General features: G+C 54.0%; 1 protein-coding gene across 5 annotated transcripts in view, besides 2 other annotated features; it reads right to left on the bottom strand.

Annotated features, from left to right (window-relative positions):
- The window catches only part of CARM1 (coactivator associated arginine methyltransferase 1), a 51,523-nt gene that overhangs the window by 1,586 nt on the left and 28,638 nt on the right, over positions 1-21,299 (bottom strand). For 2 of the 5 annotated variants that reach the window (NM_199141.2, XM_047438058.1), the window contains exons 2-15: positions 16,414-16,539; positions 13,345-13,451; positions 12,283-12,387; positions 9,196-9,306; positions 7,436-7,613; positions 4,993-5,083; positions 4,713-4,794; positions 1,810-1,895; positions 1,524-1,613; positions 917-1,054; positions 742-831; positions 544-656; positions 363-440; positions 47-115 (exon numbers count right to left, since the gene is read on the bottom strand). In NM_199141.2, coding sequence (NP_954592.1) covers positions 47-115; positions 363-440; positions 544-656; positions 742-831; positions 917-1,054; positions 1,524-1,613; positions 1,810-1,895; positions 4,713-4,794; positions 4,993-5,083; positions 7,436-7,613; positions 9,196-9,306; positions 12,283-12,387; positions 13,345-13,451; positions 16,414-16,539 — 1,464 coding nt within the window. Of the gene's footprint in view, positions 1-46; positions 116-362; positions 441-543; positions 657-741; positions 832-916; positions 1,055-1,523; positions 1,614-1,809; positions 1,896-4,712; positions 4,795-4,992; positions 5,084-7,435; positions 7,614-9,195; positions 9,307-12,282; positions 12,388-12,695; positions 12,941-13,344; positions 13,452-16,413; positions 16,540-21,299 lie in introns of those variants that run through there. The other 3 variants (NM_001370088.1, NM_001370089.1, XM_011527638.3) reach the window with 2 other exon arrangements.
- Positions 279-458: a silencer, noted in NCBI's record as "fragment chr19:11031708-11031887 (GRCh37/hg19 assembly coordinates)". NCBI's record gives its function as "represses an EF-1alpha promoter that drives an FKBP-Casp9 reporter gene in an ReSE screen in HepG2 liver carcinoma cells {active_cell/tissue: HepG2}" and the evidence as "EXISTENCE:reporter gene assay evidence [ECO:0000049][PMID:32094911]".
- Positions 16,277-16,464: a silencer, noted in NCBI's record as "fragment chr19:11015702-11015889 (GRCh37/hg19 assembly coordinates)". NCBI's record gives its function as "represses an EF-1alpha promoter that drives an FKBP-Casp9 reporter gene in an ReSE screen in K562 erythroleukemia cells {active_cell/tissue: K562}" and the evidence as "EXISTENCE:reporter gene assay evidence [ECO:0000049][PMID:32094911]".

Genomic DNA, 21,299 nt, shown 5'->3' with positions numbered 1-21,299 from the left:
ACGCTAGCTCGGCCCCCACGGGCCCTGCCCCCGCCACCCTCGTTACCTTGGACAATCCCCGTGCTCATTATGGAGCCCATCCGGGAGTGGGTGTGATTGACAATCCCCGTGTTGGCTGCGCAGCGAGAGGGAGGAAAGAAGGAAGGGAGACGGCGTCACCGCCCCCAGCCACCCAGCCCATGCACAGCAGCAGGCTGCAGAGCGAGGCAGAGAGGACGGAGAGCCTCGGCCGAGAGCCCCCAGGAAGAGGAAAAGGTGAAAGGACCAAGCAGAGGCCGACCCTGGTCACCACAGGCCCTTCCCGGCCCCTGGGCAGTCCTGGGCATGGCTCCCTGCTGCCCCTGGCCCTGGGGGACACTCACCTAAAGGAATCAGGTTGTTGTGGCCCACGCTGGAGCCACTGGCAATAACACTGCTCAAGTCATAGGCGGTCGGCATCCCTGTGTCCAGAGAGGGAGACGTCAGGGCTGGAGGCAGAGGGGCCAGGCCTGCGGCGAGGGCGGCCTCCCGGGTTGGCTGGGCATTGGGGTGGGCCCTGCTCACCTGCCACGGCCATCCCGCTGCTGAGGTTGTAGGTGCTGCCCGTGTTCCACATGTTTTCCGAGGGAGATGTGTAGTGGGAGCCGGGTGGGGGTGAGGGCGTTGTGCCCGTGTATCTATGGCAGAGACAGAGCCATGGGCAGGGGCAAGGGGGTTGCAGGGCCGGGGCGCCCCCCTGTGCAGGCAAGGGGCCCCTCCTACCTAAAGAAGGGGTTTTTCAGATCCAGGAGGTTACTGGACTTGGAGCCGGTCTGGTCCACCTGGGCCACAATACTGATGTCGTAGCTCTGTCTGCGGACAGGGTGCAGGCCGTGGCATGAGCTGCTGGGCAGATGGACCCCTGCCCACCACCACCAGCCCCAGGGAGCAGTCGCACCTTTTGTTGGCAATAAGCAGACATGTCCCTGAGAGCGTGTCCCCTGCCTTGGCGAACAGTGGTGACTGGAACAGGCACCGCACCTGGTACCAGTGGGTCAGGGGCTCTGTCGGGGCTGTGGACAGCCACACGGTCATTCTGTGGAGCAGGGACAGGCACATACTTGACTGGGCCGGCGCCACCACTGGAGCCACCACCTTGTATGCCTTGAGTCCTCCCCAAGCACCTGCCCCCTCTGCCAGGGACCCCTGGGACCCTGGAGCAGAGACAGGCTGGCCCCCAGGCAGTCCCAGACACAAACATGAGCAGGCATACATGTACACACGAGGGGCCCGCAACCACGAGATCCCTACTCACCCTGACATGTGCCAAGAGACAGACACAGACCCATGAGGGACAGACACTGGGAACACAGGACACACACACACATACACACACACACACACACACCCCACCCACAACAGTCTCTTGCTCCGAGACAGGCTCTCACTCCCATTGGAAGGGATGGTGGAACCTGGAGCCATGTTCCACCCCCCCAGCCAGGTTGCAGCTGCAGGAAGCCCTGGGAGTGGGGAGGAGGCAGCATGGGCTGCTCTGCGGCACTCACATGGAGCCGATGAAAGCAACGTCAAACCAGAAAGCCAGGCCGTGGACCAGCCCTGAATGCAGCATGTGGAATTTGAATGGGATTTCTATCCTGGAAGGCAAAGGGCAGTGGCTGCTGGGGAAGCCAGACAGGCGCTGCCGAGAGAGAAGAGGGGGTGCCAGGTGCAGAGGCCTGGGGCCCCCGCCCACCATCTGCCCTGGGACGGCAGGATGCCGGCGGGAGCCAGGGGTGGCCCTGACCTTCGGCCTGAGCCAGGCCTGGGAGGATGGAGTGTGGGTGCCAGTACCTGTGCAAATCTCCTTCTTTGGCTTCTAAGAAGTTCACCGTGTACTTGACAGACTTGGCCATCAGGATCCGGATGTCAAATGTGTCCTGGGAGAGACCACAGGTGTGACGTGGCATCTGACGCCAGGGCCAGCATGGGAGGGGAGAGCCCTGCCCCTTCCCCCAGGTCTGCCCACGGCTTCTAGGCTGTGCAGCTAAAACGAGCTTGCTCTTCCCAGACACGCCGTGAGGAGGGGACCGGCACAACGCCACCGAGGGCAATCAGGTGACAGCTCTCCAAATGACAAGTGTTTATCCACATAAAAGATTTGGCACTACAGGAGTTTAACCTCCAGATACATGAACACATCAACAAACTTACATGTATAATTAGATTGTCCGTGGTAGCGACACACTGGAAACCATCTAATTAAACCAGTGATGGCTCTCCCATCAAAGACCATGCGGACGTGAGAAAGAATGAAGAGGCTCTTTATGAACAGATGAGGAAAGATCTCCAAGCTAAATCATTAAGCAAGTTAACCAAAAAAGCAAGTTAAAGAACTAGGTGCTAGCTGGGTGTGGAATTGTATGCCTGTAACTCCAGCTACTCAGGAGGCTGAGGCAGGAGGATCGCTTAAGCCCGAGAGTGTGAATCAAGCCTGGGAAACACAGGGAGACCCTGTCTCTTAAAAACAACAACAACACTAGTGCTGCTGTCCACTCCCAGCAATGTTTATATCCGACTAACACACCTGCCATGAACTATGTAAACCGAATAAAATCCAAAGAAAAGAATAAACCAGTTGTTGGAAGCACTGGTGACCAACCAGAGCGGCCAGGATTTTGGGGATCAAGCTCCTGGAAAGGAGGGAAATGCCCTTTCTGGAGGGAGCCCTTTCTGGCCTCTACCTTTTCCCCATGGGGAGGGCAGAAAACGGCCACCTCGACCTTTCAGCAGCTTCCTTGGGTGGGGAAAGCAAAATGGGAGCTCAGGGTTACCAAGGCAGCTCGGATTCAAGGGGCTGTGATGTCAAAGCAAAGGGAAATAAGTGCAGGAGGGCAAGGTGGGCGGTGCACACTCAGTGCGCTTGTGAAATTGGCCAACTCCTGAGCTTTGAGCGAGGCAGGGCATCAGAGGCTAAGACACCAAGCAGAAAGCCGCTAATAAGAGGCTCAACGCCAGGTGCAGTGGCTTATGCCTATAATCCCAGCACTTTGGGAGGCCGAGGCGGACGGATCACCTGAGGTCAGGAGTTCAAGACCAGCCTGAGTAACACAGTGAGGCCCCATATCTACAAAAAAATAAATTAGCCGGGCATGGTGGCACACTCCTATAGTTCCAGCTACTTGGGAAGCTGAGGCAGGAGGATCACTTGCGTCTGGGAGATCGAGGCTGAAGTAAGCCATGAAGTGATTGAGCCACTGTACTCCAGCCTGGGGAACAGAGTGAGATCCTGTTTCAAAAAACAATAAAAGCTAACGGGTGGTTCAGCAGCATATTGGTAATGAGGCTAACCACTGGACTTGCATTAACATTACCAAAGGCTGTACCATAAAGCAGCACCTTCTCAAACTGTGGCCTCTTCCAAGGCACCCTCATCATAATACAAAATTTGCATAATACCACCAAAATATTTCCTGCTTTTTTCACTCATTCACTCCCCAGTGATATCACAAAAGACTGAACACGCTGGGCATGGTGGCTCACGCCTGTAATCCCAGCACTTTGGGAGGCCGAGGCAGGCGGATCACCTAAGGTCAGGAGTTTCAGACCAGCCTGGCCAACATGGCGAAACCCCATCTCTACTAAAATTACAAAAAACTAGCTGGGAGTGGTGGCAAGCGCCTGTACTCCCAGCTACTCAGGAGTCTGAGAATCGCTTGAGCCCGGAAAGTGGAGGTTGCAGTGAGCTGACATCATGCCACAGCACTCCAGCCTGGGCAACAGAGCAAGACTCCGTCTCAAAAAAAAAAAAAAAAAGAAAAAGAAAATGAGAGAAAAAAATGGATGGAAAAGACAGAAAAGAGTATAACAATCATCTGAGATATGGTGAAAAGGTTCACTGTACACGTAATTGGAATCCCAGAAGGAGAAAGAATGGGGCAGACGTAGTGTTTAAAGAGATAGTATCCAAGATAGTCCAAGAGTCTCCCAAAACGAATGAAAAACATCAAGAGCAGGGGGAAAACAGAATAAAATGGAACCTTTTTTTCTTTTTTTTTGAGACGGAGTCTCACTCTGTCGCCCAGGCTGGAGTGCAGTGGTGCGATCTCGGCTCACTGCAAGCTCTGCCTCCCGGGTTCACGCCATTCTCCTGCCTCAGCCTCCTGAGTAGCTGGGACTACAGGCGCCCGCCACCACGTCTGGCTAATTTTTTGTATTTTTAGTAGAGATGGGGTTTCACCGTGTTGGTCTCAATCTCCTAACCTCGTGATCTGCCCGCCTTGGCCTCCCAAAGTGCTGGGATTACAGGTGTGACCCACTGCACCTAGCTTTTTTTTCCTTTTGATTTTTAAATCATGGATCTATGTATCAAAAATCTCAAGTAAAATCAATCAATAAATCACATCAGCTCACCAAGGATAAATTCATCTAGTAATGGTTCTTTTTTATTTTTATTATTTATTTATTTTAATTTTAAAAATAGCGATGGCGTCTCTGTGTTGCCCAGGCTGATCTTGAACTCCTGAGCCTAAATGCCCCCTCTGCCTTAGCCTCACCTAATAATGTTCCACATGTATTGCATGTGTGCTGTGTGCTAAGTGTCTACATGCATTGACACTTTTGGCCCAAATCTCTGTGAGAGCGCTGTGCAGGGCAGAGGAGAGGGCTCAGAGAGGGGCTGTAGCTTCCTGAGGGCTGCACAGCTGCACAGCAATGGCAAGTGATCACTGCAGCAGTACCCTGGAGGCCCTACTCACCACCACAGGCTGCCGGAAATACTCATCCACCGCGGCACCTCGGAGGGCCGACAGGTCCACTCCATGGAAAGATGGCTGGTACCTGTGGACAGGCCCCACCCCCACAGCAAGGTCAGGGCTGCAGAAGAGGCAGGTGGGGTAGCCCTGCCTTCTCTCCCAGTCAGCCCTCATCTAGCCCAAGTCTTTCAGAAAAAGAGGAGTGCAGGCTCTCTGGGGAGCTGGGGCTGTCCCTGAGAAGGCAGGCTGTGGGGCCCAGGCGGGACACCCAGGGCACACTCACCAGAAGTTGGCCTTGGTGAACTGCTCCATGTAGAGCTGTTCATCCGTGAAGGGTGCAAGGTGGACGTCACCAATGGTAGGAAACATGTTTCCTGGGAGTGGGGCAGGGAGGGGTGCTGGCGTCAGGTGACACATCCCACACTGCCTGGCAGAGCTTCCAAAGGACCCCAAGACCCCCAACCCTGGGTGCTCCCAGCCTGTCATCCATTCGTTCCTGCACTCCTGTGACAGTGGCACCGAGCGCCTATTCTGATCAGTGTTTCATCACCACCACGGGTACCTGACCTGCACCAGCTCACGAATTCCACCTGAGACTGGGAGGCTGGTGGCTCATCTTTATGTCCTATTACTAGACCTGGCAGGTGTGAGGGACCTGCCAAAGACTCACGGGGAAGCAGGCAGTGCCCGGGATGTGGCCAGGCGCTGCCTCTCAGGCCCTGCCGTCTGTGCATGTGTGCAGCCGGGAAAGCATAGCAAAGTTGCTCTGGACAGAGGGAGGGTGGTGGGCCCCGGGCTACCCCAACGCCGCTGGGGACCTCAGTTGAGGCCAAGAGCCAGGTGGGGGAAGCCAAATCCACACCACAGGGACTGCCTAGGTTCTGGCACAGGCACCCAGCCGGCAGGATGGGCCACTTGGCCTGCCTGGTCTGGGCACACAGACTGAGGGAAGGGCAGGGCCTCCCTCTGTGACTCAAGGGTAGACGCATGAGTCAGGGCCAGTGGCAGGGAGGATCAGGGCCCCGCAGCCCCGCCTGCCCCAAGGAGCACCTGGCCTCCAGATGTGGGCCCCCCAGCCTTGCAAGCTGGGGGAGGAGATCCTGAGGTATCAGTGGGACTCTGCCTCCTCCTTACGCCACCAGGCTGTACCCGAGGCGAGAGCTGCAGGGCTGCAGCTGCTGGAACGGGGAGGGAGATGCACATGCTGCGGCTTCTGCCCTGGGGGACCTGGGGGCACCATGGGAAGTGACCCAGCCTGGAAGGAACCTCTGGCTCCTGCTGACCAGAAGACATGTGACTGGGAGAGGGGAGGGCTGCCTTTAACCCCTGGAAGAGCTTCCTGAGCTGGACAGGAGTCCTCCTTGCACAGGCCTGGCCTCCCCCCTCCCTGCAAGCTGGCTGCTGGGACGTCGGGGGCACATGCAGCTGCCCACAGAGCCTGACTGCCATCTGGCTTCATGTCCCATCGGGAGGGGCCCTCTCTGCTGGGGCTGTCCCCACCCCCATCCCCACCATCAGGGCAGAAGGGGAGGAGAGTGGGGCCCACAGCCCCTGGAGCAGCCTTGCTTCCCATACTCACACCCAAGACATGAGACACAGCTGTGGGACGCCACCTCCCACCTCCAGGAGCACAGCCAGCCAGGACCCTAGGGCCTGGATCCAGGGCGGGCCAGAGATGAGAGTGGAAGCTTCCCCCCTGCCCCTGCCTGCACAAGCCCCACCAGCCTGCTGCTGCCCACGCTCCATCCCATGGCTGCTACCCTGGCTGGGGACCTGTACCCTGCCACACGCACACACAGCTGCTTGCCTGTACAGAAATGCTCAGACGCTCACATACCTAGCATGAGAAGAGCCACAGGCACATGCCTCAGGCGTCAGGGCTGCACAGACCCCAAGACAGATGGGCAAATAGAAACAGTCACCCAGGCCAGGCACAGTGGCTCATGCCTATAATCCCAACACTTTGGGAGGCTGAGGCGGGTAGATCACCTGAGGTCAGGAGTTCGTGACCAGCCTGACCAACACGGTGAAACCCCATCTCTACTAAAAATACAAAACTTAGCTGGGCGTGGTGGTGCACACCTGTAATCCCAGCTACTCAGGAGGCTGAAGCACAAAAATTGCTTGAACTGGGGAGGTGCAGGTTGCAGTGAGCCGAGATCGCACCACTGCACTCCAGCCTTGGCAACAAGAGTGAAACTCTGTCTCAAAAAAAGAAACAGTCACCCAGTGACCAGAGGCCATACCCAGAGGCACGGATGGGAAGTGACAGATGGGCTTGCCAGACAGCTACCTCACCTCCTCACACACGTACACTCGCACCCACACCCCTGCATTTGCACACATGCTCGCCCACCCCACCTCCTGGACTGTGAGGAGAGCAGGGCTTGTTGGGGAACTGCTGACCACAGAACCTGTCCCAATCCCCACTCCCAGCCAGAGGCTGTCCCGCAGGAGCAGGACATGGGACGGCAGAGGTGCCAGGAGATCCTGTGTACCCTGTCTGGGCGAGTGGGCAGCTGGGTGTCTGGCCGTGTTTGGGGCCCAGGGCTCCAAAAGCCACAGCTGGCTGGAGTGGGGTTGGGGTGGGAGCGGGGGAAAAGCCCAGGCTTCCCTACACCCCGGGCCACCGACAGTAAGCAGGGAGCTGAAGCACTGATGGCCTGGCTCAGCGGCAGCCAGGGCCTCCACCGAGGGGCCTGGCCTGTGTACCCCCCAGTGCTCACCGCTGGGCTTCAGGTACTTCTTGGCGTGGAGGTAGCTCTCCAGCATGCGCTCGTTGAAGAGCATGTAGCCCATGGGCTCCGAGATGATGATGTCCACCTGCTCGGGGAGTGACACCTCCTCCACCTTGCCCGGGATGACCACGATGCGGTCCGTCAGGTTGTTACTCTTCACCAAGACCTGCAGGCGGGCAGGGCCATGTGGGCTTCCCTGCGTCTTCCTGCCATGGGGCCCTCCCTAGACCTGCTCTCAAGGGACAGCCTCCATCCACACATGGGCATTGGGTGCCCCTCTGCCTGCTTCGCTGGCGCCCCAACCATGGCTGCGATTGGCCATAGCCTGTTAAGAGCTCACTGTGGGCCGGGCACGGTGCCTCATGCCTGTAATCCCAGCACTTTGGGAGGCCGAGGCAGGCGGACTGCTTGACCTCATAAGTTGGGAGACTAGCCTGACCAACATGGAGAAACCCTGTCTCTACTAAAAATACCAAAAAAAAAAAACTATTTTTTTTTTCTTTGAGACAGATTCTCACTCTGTTGCCCAGGCTGGAGGTGGTAGTGGCGCCATCTCGGCTCACTGCAACCTCTGCCTCCCGGGTTCTAGCGATTCTCCCACCTCAGCCTCCCGAGTAGCTGGGACTACAGGCACCCACCACCACGCCTGGCTAATGGGGTTTTGCCACGTTGGTCAGGCTGGTCTCGAACTCTTGACCTCAGGTGATCCGCCCACCTAAGCCTCCCAAAGTGCTGGGATTACAGGTGTGAGCCACCATGCCTGGCCTAAAAATACAAAAATTAGCCAGTTGCAGTGGTGGATCCCAGCTATTCAGGAGCCTGAGACAGGAGAATCACTTGAACCCGGGAGGTGGAGGTTGCAATGAGCCAGGATCGCACCACTGCACTCAAGCCTGAGCAACAGAGTGAGACCCCCCCCAAAAAAAAAGAGAGTTCACTGTGACCCCGGCCCTGCCTCAGGGCCGTCCCCTGCTGCGGCCTCCTAGGTCCCCCACCCTGCGTCGACAACTGCTGGTGGCTGCAAAGAGGGGGACGAGCAGACATCACAACAGCCACCAAAGCTAAAGCTGGATGCACCCCCAACCCAGCGATTCCAGGGCTAGGGTGTGTCCTACAGACACAACCGCATGTGGGAGAGGGGCTCAGGACAGCAGCGTTGGCCACGTGAAGACCTGGAAGGAGTCTGAGTGTCGCTGCGGACACAATGCAGCTAAAGCAACAGCGGCACGGCTGGGCACAGGGGTGCTCTGCGGCGGCAAGACAGAACAAAGATGGCCCCTCCACGACCCCGGCGACCCCAGATCCATGGGAGAGGCAGAGCAGGGAATGGAGGGTGCAGCCTCCACTGGTGCGAGAGGACGCTCACGGAATAGCTCTGCTCAGACTTTGTGGCCGTAGCTCCTCTCTCATGATGGGGCTGGGGGTGGGAGCTGGGGTGGGGAAGGAGAGCACGCTGTCTGCTCTTTTTTAGCTTTTATGTTTTGAACTTTGTGAATGAAGGTTTCAGTGCAAAAAAAAAAAAAAGAAAACAGGGAAATGACATGTGGCCCTGACTACCGGCCATGAGAGAAAATCATCTCAGGCCCTGAAGCCCCTCCCTGAAATGACTGTCTTGGGGACAATAAAGAGACCAAAGCACAGAAGTAATGTCCCCAGGCCCCTGGGGGTTCCCAAGCTTCTCTAGGCTGGGGCCGGCATGGCACTCATGGGCGAGGACGAGGCTGGGTGGGCACCAGCGGGCCACTGACCTCAGCGTGCTGGGCCATGGTGCTGGCCTCCACCGCGTAGATTTTCCGTGCTCCAGCTTGGGCGGCAAAAAACGACAGGATCCCAGAGCCACAGCCAACATCAAGAACGATCTGAGGGAGGAGTGGGAGGTGAGAGCGAGACATAGGAGGCGACGGTGATGGGGAGGTGACAGTGATCATAAGGGATGTGCACATCATGAGGCGTCTGTCTTCACTCTCAATGTTTGCCCTTTATGGGCTCTTGGTCAAAATGAAGCGAGAACTCAAGATGAGCCATGGGCCAGTCCTCCGGGAGGAGAAGCCCTGGGGAAGCTCCCGCTCGGCCCCAACCCTGTGGCCTGCAGGCCTCCGGATCGTCTGGGGTGAGTGGCACGGGCCTCCCCTGGAAGCTCACTGGCAGTTGAAAAGCATTTTTCCGGGGCCTCCGCAGTTCTAGCATGGAGGAAAGGGGCCCGAGTTGTTGGTGGCAGTGTCTCCCAGCTCCATGCTGACTCATGCCTGGAGAAGCAGCCCGTCTTGGCTGGGGCAGGTGAGCCGCCCAAGCCCTGGGGCCGGCTGGGCTCCCCGCAGGGCTACTGGCCCGTGGTGGTCACTCATGGCAGAGTCCAGGCCAGGGTCTGGGAGAACACACCACCTGTTCTGGATTTGTGGGATTGCTTCCACACGAGCAGACCAAGGACAGACATTCCTGGTGGTGACAGGCATGAGCTTTTGAAGGACAAATGCTCTGGGCATGGTGAGTGCCTGCAGGGGAAGCTGGGGTCAGGTGGGAAGGCCTCAGGGTACTGATCAGAGCTCCAGATGAACCAGGAAATGGATCTCCATCCTTGGGGAGCAGGAAGGGACTTCACCAACGGAGGACGTCCTTCCCAGACCTCAGTGGCCAGGAGGAGGCTCGGGATGGCCCTGCCAGGGCAGACACTCTTGTGTCAAGACAACTCCTCCCCAGGGCCCAAGGCCTACCATCCTCTGGGACGGTAAGCGATGCTAGGGGGGCGTGACCCAGGCGCTGGATGAGGCAGATCCATGCAGATCCACGTGGAGAGATCCCCAAAATACTTGGAGGAAAAAAACAGGCTCCCATTTGATTCAAAAGAGAAAACAGGCCAGGTGCGGCGGCTCACACCTGTAATCTCAGCACTTTGGGAGGCTGAGGCGGATGAACTGCTTGAGGCCAGAAGTTTGAGACCAGCCTGGGCAACATGGCAGAACCCCATCTCTACTAAAAATACAAAAATTAGCCGGGCATGGTGGCACATGACTGTAATCCCAGCTACTTGGCCGGCTGAGGCACAAAAATCGCTTGAACCCAGGAGGCAGAGGCTGCAGTGAGCTGAGATTGTGCCACTGCATTCCAGCCTGGGTGACAGAGTGAGAATCTGTCTCAAAAAACCCCCCAAAAACAGAAAGAGAAAACAAAAATTCTGAGTAAGCCGGGTGCAGTGGCTCATGCCTGTAATCCAAGCACTTTGGGAGGCTGAGGTGGGTGGATCATGAGGTCAAGAGATCTAGACCATCCTGGCCAACATGGTGAAACCCTGTCTCTACCAAAAATACAAAAATCTGCTGGGCTTGGTGGTGTGCGCCTGTAGTCCCAGCTACTCAGGAGGCTGAGGCAGGAGAATTGCTTGAACCCGGGAGGCGGAGGTTGCAGTGAGCCGAGATTGTGTCACTGCACTCCAGCCTGGTAACAAAGCAAGACTCCATCTCATAAAAAAAAAAGTAAAAATAAAAAAATAAAAAAGGTAGACACCAAAAACTCTGGCAAATGGGATGAGAAGGGAATACATTATACATTTCTACTTTTTTTTTTTAAGACGGAGTCTTGCTCTCTTGCCCAGGCTGGAGTGCAGTGGCACAATCTCGGCTCACTGCAACCTCCGCCTCCCAGGTTCAAGTGATTCTCCTGCCTCAGCCTCCTGAGTAGCTGGGACTACAGGTGCCTGCCACCACGCCCAGCTAATTTTTGTATTTTATTTTAGTAGAAATGGGCTTTTGCCATGTTGGCCAGGGTGGTCTCGAACTGCTAACCTCAAGTGATCCACCTGCCTCAGCCTCCCAAAGTGCTGGGATTACAGGTGTGAGCCACTGTGCCTGGCCGATTTCTACTTTTGAATACAGACGTTCTGCTCTGTTCTCTCTCTCTTTAATCATGAGTGCACATTATTTGGTGATATCAAAAAGCTTATTTATTTTGTTTTTGAGGCAGGGTCTCGCACTTTGGCTCAGCCTGGAGAGCAGTACCCCAATCACAGCTCACCGCAGTTTCAACTTCCTGGGCTCAAATGATCCCCCTGCCTTGGCCTCCCAAAGTGCTGGGATTACAGACAGGTGTGAGCTACTCTGCCCAGCTCAATAAAATAATTGTAAAATATACGCTGATGTCTGTATGGGGAAAAATCTTGAAGAAGAGACCTCATACTGAGGGGTAGCGGCTATCTTGGAGGGAACTGATAGAGGCCTCTCAAGCCTATAATGTACATGCTGTGTTGAGTTTATATATCAAATGCATTTGTTTTTCTTGCTTTTTGTTTTTTTTGTTTGTTTGTTTGTTTTTTGAGATGGAGTCTCACTCTGTTGCCCAGGCTGCAGTGCAGTGGCGCGATCTCAGCTCACTGCAAGCTCTGCCTCCTGCGTTCATGCCATTCACCTGCCTCAGCCTCCTGAGTAGCTGGGACTACAGGCGCCCACCACCACGCCCAACTAATTTTTTTGTATTTTTTAGTAGAGACGGGGTTTCATCGTGTTAGCCAGGATGGTCTCGATCTCCTGACCTTGTGACCCGCCCGCCTGGGCGTCCCAAAGTGCTGGGATTACAGGCGTGAGCCACCGCGCCTGGCCTTGTTTATTTGTTTTTTTTTAAGAGACAAGAGTCTCGCTCTGTCGCCCAGGCTGGAGTGCAGTGGCAGAATCATAGCTTACTGCAGCCTCAAACTCATGGACTGAAGCGATCCTCCTGCCTCAGCCTCTGCAGTAACTGAGATAAATGCATTTCTAATCTGAGAAAATTAAAGATAAAATCAATGAGCAAAGAAAAAAAAAACCGAGACAGAAGCAGAGAGGTGGGCACATGCGCGGGCCACTCACCTTGTCCTTGAAGTCGGTGTGGTTTTGCAGGATGGCGCGCTGGTAGGTGCCTGTCCGCACGTAGTCCTGCATCATGTTCTGCTGCTGGGACAGGTAGCCATAAAACTGGAACAGAGACATACCGATGGCACGGGGCACATGGTGGCACGAGGCAGCCAAGGCCCTGGCCAGCCCTGTGATAGAGCAAGGGGCCATCTAGGGCACAAACCTCCCTCGGGAGGTCGTGCACCCTCTGCCTGGGCCCCACTAGCAGCTCCAGGAGAGGGAGCAGGAAGCCGGAGGGCAGCCCCCAGGAGGACACCGCCACTATCACTGCAGCCGATGGCAACAGCTGATGCCGCCTGGACCTGGAAGCCGCCCAGGAGAACTCAAGATTTGCCACAGGCAGGGTTCTGGCATCGGGGGCCACCTGCCTCATCTTGAGGGCCCCAAAGAAGAAGAGAAGCAGATCGAACAGAGCCCTAGAACTCAGAGCGCCAGGCAGGTGAGGTGTGGTGTCTCTCTGTAAGACAACGGGCGATCGGGAGGCAGCGTGGCACCTGGGCAGGGGCACAGACTTTGGCATCAGGCAGACCTGGCTTCCCATCTTGGCTCTGTTGCATATAGCTGTGTGACTTGGAGCAAGTCACTTAACCTCTCTGAGCCTCAGTTTTCTCATCTGTAAAATGGGGACAATAATAGCACTTACCTCCTAGCGTTGTTGGGAGGGTCCAAGTGCTTCTGTGCATGTGACAGCGCTTAGACCAGGGCCTGGCATGCAGGGAGCGCTCAGGGCATTGTAACTGCTCTACCGTTATTCACAACGCCTGTGGCCCTGAGCTCCACCTGTGCTCAGATCCTTCCAGCAACCCTCTCAGGCAGGCACCTGCATCTCCGCTTCACAGATGAGGAAACTGAGGCCCAGCCAGCAGAGGAAACCTGCCCAAGGCTACATGGCCAGTAAGGGACAGAGCCAGGACGGGAACTTGGGTGGGCCTTCCCTGTGCTGTGTGGCCTCCTGCGGGTGAGTGGCAGGGGGGCTGCCGGGGGGAGGCGGCCTGGCTGAGGGGGAGTACAACCCACCTGGAAGTACTGCACGGCAGAAGACTCCTCCGTCCGCTCGCTGAACACAGACCGCTCCAGGGTGTGGCCCCGGCAGGTTTTCAGGATGTTGTAGAAGGAACAGAAATCTGGAACAGGGAAGCCAAGTCACCGGGGGGCGGTCAGCAACCCAGCATGTGGCCATCTGGGAGGGAAGGTTCTGGATGGCCGTATGTCCTGACGTTTCTCCCTTGAACATACAGGGCTGGTGATTTCTCTTCCCCGAAAAACAATTTTCAAAGTTCAAAGAAAAGATGAAGGGCAGCCATGCCTGCACTGTGGTGACTGACATGAGAAGAGGGCAGGTAGCCTGCATGTGGGGCTGCTGTCTGGTGGGAGTGGGCCTGGGGATTCCTCACCAAAGGGCAGCTTGGTGAAGCTCTCTCAAGCACACGCCCACCGGCCCAGGAGTCAAAGCTCTGGCAAATAAGCCCAAGTCCACCCAGAAGCTCAGGGCAGCATCTGTGTGGGGGCAGCAGACACTGCAATGTCCAGTAAGAGGGGACTGGACAAATGCCAGGGGCACAGAAAAGCACAGTAGAGGCCAGGTGCAGTGGCTCATGCCTGTAATCCCAGCACTTTGGGAGGCTGAGGTGGGAGGCTGAGGTGGGCAGATCAGCTGTCAGGAGTTCCAGACCAGCCTGAGCAACATAACAAGACCCTGCCTCGTTAAAAAACAAAAACAAAAACATGAAATAAAAAATTAAGAAAAGCATGGCAGAGAATCACCAATCACCACCCTTCCCAGAGATGCAATGGTATGTGGCCCTTTAAAGCAGGCTCTATCTATTTGGCTGGGGACAGTGGTTCTCAACTGTAATCCCAGCACATTGGGAGGCTGAGGCGGGTGGACTGCTTGAGCCCAGTTTAAGAGGCCAGCCTGGGCAACATAGCAAGACCCTGTCTCTACAAGAAATAATAAGCCGGGCACGGTGGCTTATGCCTGTAATCCTAGCACTTTGGGAGGCTGAGGCGAGTGGATCACTTGAGGTCAGGAGTTCGAGACCAGCCTGGCCAACATGGTGAAACCCTGTCTCTATTAAAAATACAGAAATTAGCCAGGGGTGGTGGCGGGCACCTGTAATCCCAGCTACTCAGGAGGCTGAGGTGGGAGAATCACTTGAACCCGGGAGGTGGAGGTTGCAGTGAGCCAAGATTGTGTGACTGCACTCCAGCCTGGGCAACAGAGTGAGACTCTGTCTCAAAATAAAATAAAATAAAATAAAATAAAATAAAATAAAATAAAATAAAATAAAATAAAATAAAGCTATATTTATTAACATAGAATAATAGCCACTAAATTATATCAAGTAAAAAACAAAACAATATTTAAAAGACAATCTCTTTAAAAATTAAAAGACACGGTCAGGCATGGTTGCTCACGCATGTAATCCTAGCACTTTGGGAGGCGGAGGCAGGCGGATTACCTGAGGTCAGGAGTTCAAGACCAGCCTGGCCAACATGGTGAAACCCCCGTCTCTACTAAAAATACAAAAAATTATCTGGGTACAGTGGCACGTGCCTGTAATCCCGGCTACTCAGGGCGCTGAGGCAGGAGAATCGCTTGAACCTGGGAGATGGAGGTTGCGGTGAGCCGAGATCGCGCCACTGCACTCCAGCACTCCAGCCTGGGTGACAGAGCGAGACTCCGTCTCAAAAACAATGAAAAGACACAGTTCGGGATGAGCAAGTTCTGGAGATGGGCGGTAGTGACAGTTGCACAACAATGTTAATGTGCTGCTTGCTACCAACCTACACACTTCAAAAGGGTTAAAATGATCACATTTTGTTATGTAGATTTTAGCACAACTTTTAAAAACTGACAGAACTGAAATAAAAAATATTAAAATACAAATAGTCTTAAGAGTGGGAACGGCCGGGTGCAGTGGCTCATGCCTGTAATCCCAGCACGTTGGGAGGCTGAGGCGGGTGGATCACTTGAGGCCAGGAGTTTGAGACCAGCCTGGGCAATATGAAAAACTCCATGTCTACTATATTAAAAACACAAAAATTAGCCAGGCACGGTGGCACACACGTGTAGTCCCAGCTACGCGGGAGGCTGAGGCATAAGAATCGCCTTGAACCCGGGAGGTGGAGGTTGCAGTGAGCTAAGATAGCACCACTGAACTCCAGCCTGGGCAACAGAGTGACACTCTTTCTCAAAAAAAAAAAAAAAAAAAAAAAAGGGGCCGGGCACGGTGGCTCACATCTGTAATCCCAGCACTTTGGGAGGCTGAGGCAGGTGGCTCACTTGAGGCCAGGAGTTCAAGACCAGCCTGGGCAACACAGTGAAAACCCATCTCTACAAAAAATTAGCCAGGCATGGCAGCTTCACACAGCTGGCCCCGAGGGCTCAGGCTGCCCAAGGTACATCTGGGTCACTGCACAGCTACCTTGAGACAAGGGGGAGGCCGGCAGTGGCTCATGGGCACGCAGCCTCTCCACCTCCAGCTGTCCTCGCACCAGCACCTGTGTCAACCACTGGACTCACTTCAGGTCTCTGGTAACCAAGCCTGCGGTGGGACCTTCAGACCATCTCCAGCCCTGGGCATTCCTGGACACCTCTCTGCTACCCTGGCTGCATCCACCTGGGGTTCTCCCACCCCTAGTCAGGAATCTTGTGTCCACCTGTGCCCCCAAGGTGGGTTGGTTAAGCCCTTCTGGTGGCTTCTCTGCGCCCTGAGCAAACTCTTCCTGCCTCTAGGACCTCGCCTCACTCCATCCACAGCTGGCCCAGTCACAGCTGGCCCAGGGCTGGCCACTGCCAGAAAGACTGGTCCCAGGTGGTCAGGATGGGCCTCTTGGAGGTGGGGACATAGAAGCCAAGCCCCAAAAGACCCGGAGGAGCCGGTGAGGGAGGGTCTGGGATCCAGGGTCTGCCCAGGCCAGAGTGTATTCTGGGCATACCTGCATGTGGGAATGTGGTTTTGAGGGCAGTGGAGCCTTCTTAAGGATGCACGGGCCACCCCTCAGCCAGGCTCTACGCCCCTGCCCACCAGGGCTCTGGGCGCTTTGGGCTGGTGTCACCGGAATGGAAGGAGGGCCACGTACCGTTGGGTGTGGCGAACTGGATGAGGACGCTGTTGCAGCCCAGGGTGATGATGAAGGACTGCTTGCCCACACGGCTGCACTCTGTCTCTCGGGACACTGAGCACTTAAAGACACACACATCTTCATCTACGAGAGAAGACAGGCTGGCGTGAGCGGTGCAGCCCTGTCAGCTGCCTTCTTTTGAGCCTGGGTCCCTGTCGCCCTCCTGCTGCCTCCCCTTGGTGCCCCCAGATTCTTCCAGAGTGCCACAAAACCACCCTGGCAGCATTGCCGGGTGCCCTGACTGCCCAGCCCACATGGAAGACAAGGGAGCGACTGATCAGACAGCAGGAACACAGCCTGTGTCCTCAGGATGATCAGGGCTGAGACGGGCATGGTGAAGGCTGAGGTGGGCAGACAGGGCCACAAGGCATGGTGCTGGCCCACAGGAACTCAGAGCTGGAGCTGCCTCTGCCCTGCTCGGCTGAGCCCTTCTGTTCTTGGATGGGCGCAGAGCAGTGACTGCATGTGGCCAGTGGAGTCAGACCGCTGGGTTCACACCCCATCCATGCCATTTGTTCACTGTGACACAGGCATGTCCCTCAGCCTCTCTGGAACTGGGGTTCTCACCATCAGATGGGGCTAATGGCGGGGCAGTGGTCTAGTGAATTAGGACACTGTCTCCCTGTACCCATCATGATAGCTGTTACCAGTCATTCATTCCACAAACCTGCAGCCACTCCACTCCAGCCAAATGGTGAAACTTAGCGATGCCAGGAACGGGCCAGCCCAATCAGGCACTGTGCCCCTGCCTGCCATACTGCAGTGGGACAGGTGCATCATCTGTAGTATTCTTGGCAAAAATGTTTGCCCTAGTCTCATCTTCAAGGGACAACAGAAAAGGACAAGTTGTGGGGCAGGCTACAGGACAACCAGCCTGGTCTCCTTGAACAGGCCAATGTCAGGAAAGACCAAAACGGTGGGAGCTATTCCAGAGTGCAGGAGACAAGAAAGAGGGGAGTGCCCAATGCAATGCAAAGTGGGACCCTGGGCTGGAGCCAAACGAAAAATGTTTTTAAAAGTTATACAGGACAACTGGGGAGGCTGGGCCCACACCTCTAATCCCAGCACTTTGGGAGGCCAAGGCAGGAGGATCACTTGAACCCAGGAGCTGGAGATCAGCCTGGGCAGCATAGCAAGACCCCATCTCTACAAAAAAATTTAAAAATTAGGCAGGCATGGTGGCATGCGCCTGTTGTCTTAGGGACTCAGGAGGCTGAGGCTACAGTGAGTCATGACTGTGCCACTGCATTCCAGCCTGGGTGACAGAGCAAGACCTTGTCTCAAAAAAATAAATAAAGGACAACTGGGGAGCTGGACAGAGTGGCTCACACCTGTGGTCCTAGCTACTTGGGAGGCTGAGGTGGGAGGATCGCTTGAGCCCAGGAGGTTGAGGCTGTAGTGAGGTATGATGGTGCCACTGCACTCTAGTCTAGGCAACAGACGTGAGATCCTATTAAAAAAAAAAAAAAAGACAACTAGGGAAATGTGAGTGTGGACTACATATTCCATAATTTTAAGTTATTTGGATGTGACAATGGTATTGTGGTTTTGTAGAGAAATGCATATTTTCTTAGAAAACATATGCGGAAGTATTTATGGCAAATTCCCATGATGTCAGTAGCTTGCTTTTGAATAGCCCATCATAACAACAACAACATGAGTGCAAATATGGCAAAGTGTTCTCAATCACCCTGAATAGCCAAAACAGTCTTGAAAAAGAATGAAGTTGGAGGATTCCCATGTCTCAATTTCAAATTTTACTACGAAGGTACAGTAATGAAAACAGTGTAGTGGTACTGGCAAAAGAAAGGAGACACAGATCAATGGAACAGAATCAGAGTCCAGAAATAAACCCTTATACTTATCCTCAATTGATTTTTGATAAGGATGCCAAGAACATTCAATGGGGAAAGAATAGTGTCTTCAACAAACACTGTTGAGAAAACTGGATAACCACAGAGAAAAGAATGAAGTTAAACCCCTACCTCACACCATATACAAACAAAACAGAACTCAAATGGAGCAATGACCTAAATATAAGAGCTAAAACAAGAAAACTCTTAGGAGAACTATTTGCAAATCATCTATTGTTAAGTATTTAGTGTCCAGAATATATAAAAAACTATTTTAGGGTCAGGCATGGTGGCTGACACCTGTAATCCCAGTACTTTGGGAGTCAGGCAGATTACTAGAACCCAGGAGTTTGAGACCAGCCTGGGCAACATGGTGAAATCCCGTCTCTACTAAAAATATAAAAATATTAGTCGGTGTAGTGGCATGCGCCTGTAGTCCCAATTACTTGGGAGGCTGAGGTGGGAGAATCACCTGAGCCCAGGAAGTTGACACTGCAGTGAGCAGAGATGGCAACGCTGCACTCTAGCCTGGGTGACAAGAATAAGAGCATGTCTCAAAAAAAAAAAAAAAAAGTCTGGGCACAGTGGCTCACGCCTGTAATCCCAGCACTTTGGGAGGGCAAGATGGGTGGATCACGAGGTCAGGAGATCAAGACCATGCTGGCTAACACAGTGAAACCCTGTGTCTACTAAAAATACAACAAAACAAAACAAAACAAAATTAGCTGGGCATAGTGGCAAGTGCCTATAGTCCCAGCTACTCAGGAGGCTGAGGCAGGAGAATGGTGTGAACCCGGGAGGTGGAGCTTGCAGTGAGCCAAGATCACACCACTGTACTCCAGCCTGGGCAACAGAGTAAGACTCCGTCTCAAAAAAAAAAAAAAAAAAAAAGAAACAACAATTATTTTGTATCTATTTTTATTATATTTATTTTTTGAGATGGAGTCTCACTCCATCACCCAGCCTGGAATGCAGTGGCACAATTTTGGCTTGCTGTGACCTCTGCCTCCCAGATTCTAGGGATTCTCCTGCCTCAGCCTCCCGAGTAGCTGGGGGACTACAGGTGTGCACCACCACGTCCAGCTTATTTTTGTAGTTTTCGTAGAGATGGAGTTTCACCATGTTGGTCAGGCTGGTCTTGAGCTCCTGAGCTCAAGCGCTCTGTCTGCCTCGGCGTCCCAAAGTGCTGGGATTACAGAGGTGAGCCACTGTGCCCGGCCTATATATTTTCTTGAGACAGATTCTTGATCTGTTGCCCAGGCTGGAGTGCAGCAGCACTATCTTGGCTCACTGCAACCTCTGCCTCCTGAGTAGCTGCGTTCAAGCGATTCTTATGCCTCAGCCTCCTGAGTAGCTGGGATTACAGACATGCATCATCACACCCAGTAATTTCTGTATTTTTGGTAGAGACGGGGTTTTGTCATGTTGGCCAGGCTGGTTTTGAAGTCCTAGCCTCGTGTGATCTGTCCGCCTCGGCATCTCAAAGTGCTGGGATTACAGGCATGAGCCACTGGGCTGGGCCAAGAACTTTTTTAACTCAACAACAAAGAGATAGCCAGGGCCAGGCACAGGCTCATGCCTGTAATCCCAGCACTTTGGGAGGCCAAGATGGGAGGATAACTTGAGGCCAGGAGTTCAAGGTCAGCCTGGGCAACATAGTAAGACCCCATCTCTATCGCTACAAAAAAATAAACAAAATTAGCCGGGCATGGTGGTGCATGCCTGAGATCCCAGCTACTCGGGAGGCTGAGGTGGAAGGATTGCTTGAGCCCGGGAGCTCAAGGTTGCAGTTAGCTATGACTGCCTGTGAACAGCCACTGCACTCCAGCCTGGGCAACATAGCAAGACTCCACCTCTTTAAAAAAACAAAAACAAAAACAAACAAACAAACAAAAAGCTGGCCAAGTGCAGTGGCTCATGCCTGTAATCCCAGCACTTTGGGAGGCCGAGGCAGGCAGATCACCTGAGGTCAGGAGTTCAAGACCAGCCTGGTCAACATGGCAAAATGCCGTCTCTACTAAAAACACAAAAATTAGCCAGACATGATGGTGGGTGCCTGTAGTCCCAGCTACTCAGGAAGCTGAGACAGGGAGAATTGCTTGAATCAGGGAGGTGGAGGTTGCAGTGAGCTGAGATAGCGCCACTGCACTTTAGCTTGGGCAACAGAGTGAGACTCCGCTTCAGAAAAAAAAAAAAAAAGTCCGGGTGCAGTGGCTCACACCTGTAATCCCAGCACTTTGGGGGGCCGAGGCGGGTGGATCACAAGGTCAGGAGATCGAGACCATCCTGGCTAACACGGTGAAACCCCGTCTCTACTAAAAATACAAAAAATTAGCCGGGTGTGGTGACGGGTGCCTGTAGTCCCAGCTACTCGGGAGGCTGAGGCAGGAGAATGGCAGGAACCTGGGAGGCGGAGCTTGCGGTGAGCCGAGATCACGCCACTGCACCCCAGCCTGGGCGACAGAGCCAGACTCATCTCAAAAAAATAAAAATAAAAACAAAACAAAGCAAAAAAAACCAACAGACACTCGTATGCAAGCATTCACAGCAGTACTTATTCACGACAGACACAAGATAGAAATACAACCCAAATGTCCATAAACTGACAAACAGATAAACAAATATGGCTTATCTATAAAATGAAACATTATTCAGCCATAAAAATAAAGGAAGCACTGAGCCATGCTGCAACATGAATGAATAGCAGAAACATCATGCCGAAAGAAGCCAGACACAAATGATTCTATTTATATGAAATAGTCACAGAAGGCACACTGCTGGTGGCTGAGAGCTGGGAGAAGGCAGGAATGGGGAGCAACTGCTTAATGGATGTGGGGTCTCCTTTTGGGGTGACAAACATATTTTGGGAGTAGATAGAGGTGATTGTTATGCAACATTGTAAAAGGGCTAATTTCATGTTATGAAACAACAGCTCTTGACCTCCCAGGCTCAAGACATCCTCCCACCTCAGCCTCCCGGGTAGCTGGAACC

The sequence above is a fragment of the Homo sapiens genome, chromosome 19, assembly GCF_000001405.40.
Source record: "Homo sapiens chromosome 19, GRCh38.p14 Primary Assembly".
NCBI classification, from domain to species: Eukaryota; Metazoa; Chordata; class Mammalia; order Primates; family Hominidae; genus Homo; species Homo sapiens.
The sequence above is the reverse complement of the archived record's forward strand: the minus strand, read 5'-3'. Positions and strand labels throughout refer to the sequence as shown.